General features: G+C 48.8%; 1 protein-coding gene across 28 annotated transcripts in view; it reads right to left on the minus strand.

Moving 5' to 3' along the window:
• Nucleotides 1–7315, minus strand: part of RNF212 (ring finger protein 212) — a 57460-nt gene that overhangs the window by 50011 nt on the left and 134 nt on the right. For 19 of the 28 annotated variants that reach the window (XR_007096392.1, XR_924937.2, NR_159497.1 and 16 more), the window contains exons 1-2: nucleotides 7095–7303; nucleotides 2082–2143 (exon numbers count right to left, since the gene is read on the minus strand). Coding sequence is in view for 13 of the 28 variants with exons in the window: in XM_011513446.2 (XP_011511748.1) it covers nucleotides 2082–2143; nucleotides 7095–7203 (171 nt within the window). In the remaining 15 variants the exon portion in view is untranslated. Of the gene's footprint in view, nucleotides 1–990; nucleotides 1084–2081; nucleotides 2144–5449; nucleotides 5559–7094; nucleotides 7304–7315 lie in introns of those variants that run through there. The other 9 variants (NR_159499.1, NR_159504.1, NR_159503.1 and 6 more) reach the window with 4 other exon arrangements.

Consider the following 7315-nt stretch of genomic DNA (forward strand, 5'->3'; position numbering starts at 1 on the left):
ACACACACACACACACACACACACACACAGTCACTCAGACACAGAGAAAAGAACACACGCCTTTTTAAACACCAATCAAATATGAACAATTACTGTGTATTAAACCACAGTGAAAATCCTGATAATTAAAAAACCCACATAGCCATATTCTCTCATCAGAATGCCATAGGACTAAAAATTAACGATGAAAATGACAGGGAGCTAAAAGCTAACCACTTAGAAACTAAAGCATATCCTTTCAAATAATTCCTGAGTTAAAAAAATAAAGACATATTAGAGATTATTTAGAAATCAGAGAAAAGCGGTACTCAAAATGATACAGAATAGCAGTGCACAGAAAGACACGGATGGTCTTAAATATACTTACTAGGAAACAAGAAAGTAAGTAAATGACCTGAACATTCCACTCAAGCTAGAGAAAGGTTAAGGGCTCACCAGCCTCCAGCCCGACCGTGTACAGGGCTTAGTGCGAGGGTACCGTGCGAGGAGCAGAAGCAGGCAGGCACTGAGCCTCTAAGCTGCCACATGTGTGGAGGAAAAGAAAGTATTTTCTGTTAAAAGTGCAAACATTTATATCTTTTGCCCTTGCTTTTTCATTACTTCAGGAATTTATGCCACAGAAATATTCTTATAAGTGTGGAGAGATATTGGTTAAAAATGTTCACTGGAAGGTTGTTTGAAACAGCGAAAAACCGAAAAAATCCAAAGGCTCACTGATAGGAAAATACTAAAATATAATGCAGTCCTTTTAAGAGTGAGTGTGCCCAAAATATAATGTCAACTGAGAAGATACCATTTTTTTTTTTTTTAGACTGAGTCTTGCTCTGTCGCCCAGGCTGGAGTGCAGTGGTGTGATCTCAGCTCACCACAGCCTCTGTCTCCTGGGTTCAAGTGATTTTCCTGCCTCAGCCTCCCAAGTAGCTGGGACTACAGGCGTGTGCCACCATGCCCAGCTAATTTTTTGTATTTTTAGTAGAGACGGGGTTTTACCATGTTAGCCAGGATGGTCTCGATCTCCTGACCTCATGATCCGCCTGCCTCAGCCTCCCAAAGTGCTGGGATTACAGGTGTGAGCCACTGCGCCTGGCCGAGAAGACACCATTTTTATGAAAAGGTAAATCACAATAACACACATAGAATAGGTACCAAACTCCTGGTCACTGTCATCTCTGGGAAACAGGATCTGGGGACTTACACTTTTTTTTTTTTTTTGAGACAGAGTCTCGCTCAGTCACCCAGGCTGGAGTGCAGTGGCGCCATCTCACTGCAGGCTCCGCCTCCCGGGTTCACGCATTCTCCTGCCTCAGCCTCCCAAGTAGCTGGGACTACAGGCGCCCACCACCACGCCCAACTAATTTTTTTGTATTTTTAGTAGAGATGGGGTTTCACTGAGTTGGCCAGGATGGTCTTGATCTCCTGATCTCGTGATCCGCCCATCTTGGCCTCCCAAAGTGCTGGGATTACAGGCATGAGCCATCACGCCCGGCAGGACTTACACATTTGCCATTATAATTTTCTGTACTATACGAATGTTGTGTAACTTTGTATTATGTTTGTAATCACAAAAAAACAACTATTATATTTAAATCATCAGACCAAATGCACATTTTGGAGATCAGGCAGAGAAAAGACCAATCATTTGTTTATACCAATAACAAGTTAAACTGAATATTTTATAGAGAGAACAAAAGGCATTGTTTTAAGCCTGCAGCAGTAATTGATTTTAAACTTACTTTATGAACAACACTCTTAATTATATATGACCCCTATACAAATCCAAACTCTATCACCCTCTTAAGGTGCCTGTATTGTGCTGCAGAAATCTATTTAACCCACTTTCATTTCCAGGAACACAGCACGATTCAACAACCTAGGAATAAGGTCAATCTATAGCTAAGAAAGTTTTAAAAATTAAGTTTTAAAAACTAAATCCTAACTGCATTTTGATTACTCAGATATCTTTGTTAACGGAGCAAAGTGACTGAAAATTTTAGACACCACAAATGACTAAAAATTAAATATCAAATTTAAAAGGAAATATGACTGTGATTAAGATGCAGATACGACACATTTCAACTTACATGCTTTGAAAGCAAAACTGTACGACAAGGAGCTTTACAAATCAAGCATTCATTCTTTTTACCTATAAAATAAAAATAGGCTTTATTATATTAGACTGACTACTACTTTTAAATATGTATACATGCAGACTTTACAATGTTTCTCCAAGAAATAGGCAGGATTGTATCACTTACAGGTTTTCATGTTCTGACAGGATGAGGCTGTGGGTACTGGTACAGTTGGAAGGATTTATAGAACTAACATTCTTTTCCCCTCTTTTGCAAATATGTACAAAAACAGTGACCATAAAGATCAACAACACTTAAGGCTAAGTCTATCCCAGGTATTTATTACAATTAGGCTTTTTTAAAATTAAAATTAAAAATTTTTTTTGAGACAAGGTCTTGTTCTGTTGCCCAGGCTGATCTGCAAGTGGCATGATCACAGCTCACTGCAGCCTTGACACCCCCGGGCTCAACAGTCTTCCCCTCTCAGCCTCCCTGAGTAGCTAGGACCACAGACGTGTGCCGCCACAGCCAGATAATTTTTAAATTTTTTTGTAGAGACAGGGTCTCACTATGTTGCCCACACTGGGCTCGAACTCCTGGGCTCAAACAATCCTCCCACCTCAGCCTCCCAAAGTGCTGGGATTGTAGGCGTGAGCCACTGTGCCTGGCCATAATTAGCCTTTTTTTTTTTTTTTGAGACAGAGTTTCACTCTGTCACCCAGGCGGGAGTGTAATGACGCGATCTTGGCTCACTGCAACCTCCACCTCCTGGGTTCAAGTGATTCTCATGCCTCAGGCTCCCAAGTGACTGGGCGTACAGGTGCCTGCCACCACACCAGGCTAATTTTTGTATTTTTAGTAGAGACAGGGTTTTGCCATGTTGGCCAGGCTGGTCTTGAACTCCTGACCTCAGGTGATCAGCCCACATCGGTCTCTCAAAGTGCTGGGATTATAGGCATGAGCCACCATGCCCAGCCTATGATTAGGCTTTATAGTGATATCTTAATCTAAAATTTTTAACTATTCAAAATGAACCTCAAGCTTGATTTTCTCACTAGTCAACTTGGAGCCCAGGGCTGACCAGGCACTATGAGCCTTCACACTCCTGTCATTCCAGGGAGGACATCAGGTCCAAACCTGAACAAGCCCGGTGGCTTTGTCCCCTCCTCTGGGCCAGTGCAGCTAAGAACTAGGAAAAAAACATCCCTTAAGTGAGAGGTGGATTCACAGACTTGAGGATTCCAACGCTGCTGAGTCAGCAACACTGCTGGGCAATCCTGCTTTTCCTGGGTATTTTCTGCCCCATTCCCCATGGGGCTGCTCAAACCAGGGCCCTCATATCATCTACTCAGAAGCAGCCCTGGCTCATGACCTACCTCAATTTCTCTGCCCTCTCCTCTAGACTGACCCACCACAGAACAACCCACTTCACGCTACCTCCTTCCTTTCTGCCTTGGAGGCAGCATCTCTTCCAGCCCAAGCCCAGGCTTTCACTTGTGTATCCATACTCGCCTCAGTGTCCGCAGCTCCCAGCACACAGAATGGTGTCCTACTGTGGGGTGAGGGGGTCCCCTTCTAACAGCCTCCAGAATTGTCTCCTTTCCTCTCTTCTTCAAGTTGCCCTCATGCTAAAAACATCTACCCTTGACAGTAGGTCCCCTCCCTTCTAGCTCTTTAAGTGCAAATTCTGCAGCAAGAAAATTCCTCTTATGCACCATCACAGCTAGGAGTCATGCAGTAAAAGATTAACAGAGCCGACTCATAAAAATCGAAAAGTTCTTACAAGGGAGGAGGATTAACAGACATGACAGAGAGGAAATCACGTGCGGCCAAAAGACAAAGGGATTGATGCCTGATCTATAAATAGTGCTCACTAGTCAATTAGAAAGAAACACCTCAATAAAAGGCTATGAGGAGACCTGAATAGGCATAGGAAAAAATGCAAACAGCCAATAAACACACAAAATGAAGGTCAAGGTCACTAGTAAGAGACACCAAAGAGGAGAAAACAACAGGTGCTCACGTGTCACTACAGGGAATAGAAACAGGCACTTCCTTTGTGCCTGTTTGGGTCGCATTTGGGTCAGTTTTCATGTGCACATCCGCAGCCTAGCCACTCCACCCCGAAGAATATATTCCAAGGAAAAAAATCAAGTAAGAGAACAAGTGGTGTCTCATAGCAAAACGGCAGAAACTATGTTATGGTATGATAGCCAAAAGATGTATCATGCAACCTTAAGAATGATGATACAGACTTATTTTAACACGGAAGGAGGTCTATGTTTGAGTAAGTAATAAAAGCAGATTACTGAATGGTAGACACACTATTGCTTTTGTTTTAAAAATCTGCATCTATAGGAAATGCTTGGAAGGATATACACCAGAGCTAAACAAGGGCTTCCCTCTGAGTGACACACCACTGGACAGCTACAGAGCTACAGTCAAGGCTCTGCCCAGAGCCTCCACCCCTTTTCACCACTTTTTTGTGTGTCTTTGGATTTGGTGTGGTCCCGACATGCAGCATCTGTGGCTTTTTGGAGGAATGCACTCAGACTACTGGAATCTGTGTTGACCTCAGGCTTTAAGAGCTAGGCAAACCTGTGAATCTATACCTGCCCCAGGCCCTTAACCAGTCACCTGCCAACGCAGAGTATGCTGACCTCAAAAGCTATGACGCTCTGAGCCCTGTCTTCACACTTCCCAGCACCACGAAGGCACACGCGTCTCCATCATTCCTAACAATGTTATCTTCGGGGAACATTATCTTGGGTCACCAGTGCCCTCCTCACTGGTCCAATGGACACTTTCAAACACCAATTCCTTGACTTCACTGGGATGTCCAGTTCATCAACATCTCTTTTTTACCTGACATCTTCTTTACCTCCTTCAACAAATGCTCTTTCCAACAAGATAGTCTCTTCTAGTTTCCTTCACCTTTGGGGCTCTCCACACTCCAATATCTAGGATTATAGGATTATTATCCCGTATTAATCGCTCCCCAAATGTGTTCCTGGCTGTCTTGAGTTCCAGACCCACATGTGCAACTGCCTCTTGTCTTCCCCTGGATGGCTCTCACAGGATACAGGCCGTGTCCAGACATGAGCTCAGGGGCCCTGCACCCCACCCTGCTGTGCCCCACCCTGCTGGGTTCCCTCCCGCTGGGCTCCTCTCCAGTGTTTTGTCTAGCAGTGAAACCCTGTCCAGTTCTCTAGCCCTTGTCTCCGACTCATGTCTGCTGAATCTACCTAACTTCTCCTGAACCTATCACTTCTCCCCATCACCTCTCATGTGCTCAGCTGCAGTCTCTCCCACAGTTTCTATCTCCCTCCAATCTACTTTTCACCTCGCTGCCCGAGACACTTTTGTTTTTAAATACACACCTGAAATCAACAACTCCACTCCCAGGTTACACACCCAACAGAAATGTGTACCTAAGATCACCGAAGACAGGAGCAAGAAGATTCACAGTAGCATTATTTCTGCAGCCAAATCTGCAAACAACCCAAAGGGCCATGGACAGTGGAAACGATGAGTAACTTGGGGTGTATCCATACAATGGAACACCACACAACAATGAAAGTAGATGAACTACAGTTACATACAAATACAATGATAAACTTTGCTAATCCCACATTTCGGGAGGCCAAGGCCGGTGATTGTTAGAGGACAGGAATTGGAGACCATCCTGGGCAACAAAGGGACCCCATCTCTGTGAAAAATTAAAAAAATCAGGGGTGCGTGGCTGCACATGCCTGTAGCCCCGCTACCCTGGAGGCTGAGGTAGGAGAATCACTTGAGCCTGGGAGGCGGAGGCTGCAGTAAACCGAGATCCCGCCACCGAACTCCAGCCTGGGCGACAAAGCTGAGCTCTGCCTTGAAAGAGGCAAAGAGAAGGAAGGGAGAAAAAGGAAGAAAGATGGGGAGCCACAGAAAGCGGCTTTGCTGTAGGGCTGGTTGTAGGGCTGCATTCACTAAGGCTCCATGGGTCTAAGGCCAACTCCGAGGATGGAGGTCAGCACAGCTGGCGTCCCCTGGGGCTGGAGGGCTGTGAGCCACCGGCACCCAGCTGGCTGCTTTCACGGGGAAGTTCGCTTGGTAAAAGCTCACTGTGTTTTTGCTTTTGTTCTTGCATAAACATCAGTTCAACACAAAATTTTCACAGAAAGAAAAACGCCTCCCTGACAATGCGACTGTCCACTTGACACCAGGGCCCCGCGCTGCCCATGGAATAGGGCCAGAGTCCTCCACTGGCGTTAAGGTTGCCGCCTGCCCGCTTCTCCCCCAGGTCCTCCAGGCGGACCCGCAGCCTGCAAGCCAGAGCCCCCGACTGACAGGACTCGTGGCCCGACCCCTGTGTCCCCCTCATCTTGCATCCCGCTCCCCCCGGCGGCCCCTCCCCTCCACGGCCCCTTCCTGCCTGCGGACCCTCCCCCACGCCCTCCTCCCCTGGCGTCTCCCCTCCCCCCATCTCCTCGGTATCCCCCTTCCCCCCCAAGCCTTGACCCCCCACATCCCCCACCTTGCCCCCCTCCTCTGGCGTCCCCTTCCTCCCTGCAGCCCCCCACCACCTCCGGCGTCCCCTCTTTCCCCACCCTCCCGCAGCCCCTCACTCCCCCGCTCCCTCCCCACCGCTTCTCCAGTGTCCCCCTCTCCCCACGGGCCCCTCATCACGCCCGCGGCCCCCACTCCCCGGTGGCCCCTCCTCCGAATACCCCTACCTCCGCGGCCTCTCACCCCCCCATGCCCCCCCCGCTCCATGCGCCGTTTCTCCCCCTCGGCCCCCCACGCGCCCCCGCGGCCCCTCCACCCCAGGTCCCCCTCCCCTCAGAGTTCCCCTGCTCCTCGCGGCCTCTCCCCTGGCATCCCCCTCCCCCTGCCCCCTCCCCCTTCTCCACGCGCCCTCTCTCCTCCGCAGCCCCCCACGTGCCCCCATGGCCCTCCCACCCAAGTCCCCCATCCCCCGGAGTTCCCTGACCCCCTTGCCGCTCCCCTCCCCTCTCCAGCCTGCGTTCGGGAAGCCCTGACCTTTGCCGAGGCAGGCGTCGCAGTACACGTGCCCGCAGTTGGTGAGGCTGAAGCACGACGTCCTGTGGGGCGGCTGGAAGCAGCGATTACAGAACACCCAGTTGGCCATGCCAGGCGGGCGACCGCAGCGGCGAGGCCGGGCCCACGCGAAGCCCACGCAAGGTTGGGACCAGCCTCCCCGCGCAGGGCCCGAAGGCGGGCAGCTCTGCGCCTGCGCAAAG

This window comes from Homo sapiens, chromosome 4 (genome assembly GCF_000001405.40).
Source record: "Homo sapiens chromosome 4, GRCh38.p14 Primary Assembly".
In the NCBI taxonomy this organism is placed as follows: domain Eukaryota; kingdom Metazoa; phylum Chordata; class Mammalia; order Primates; family Hominidae; genus Homo; species Homo sapiens.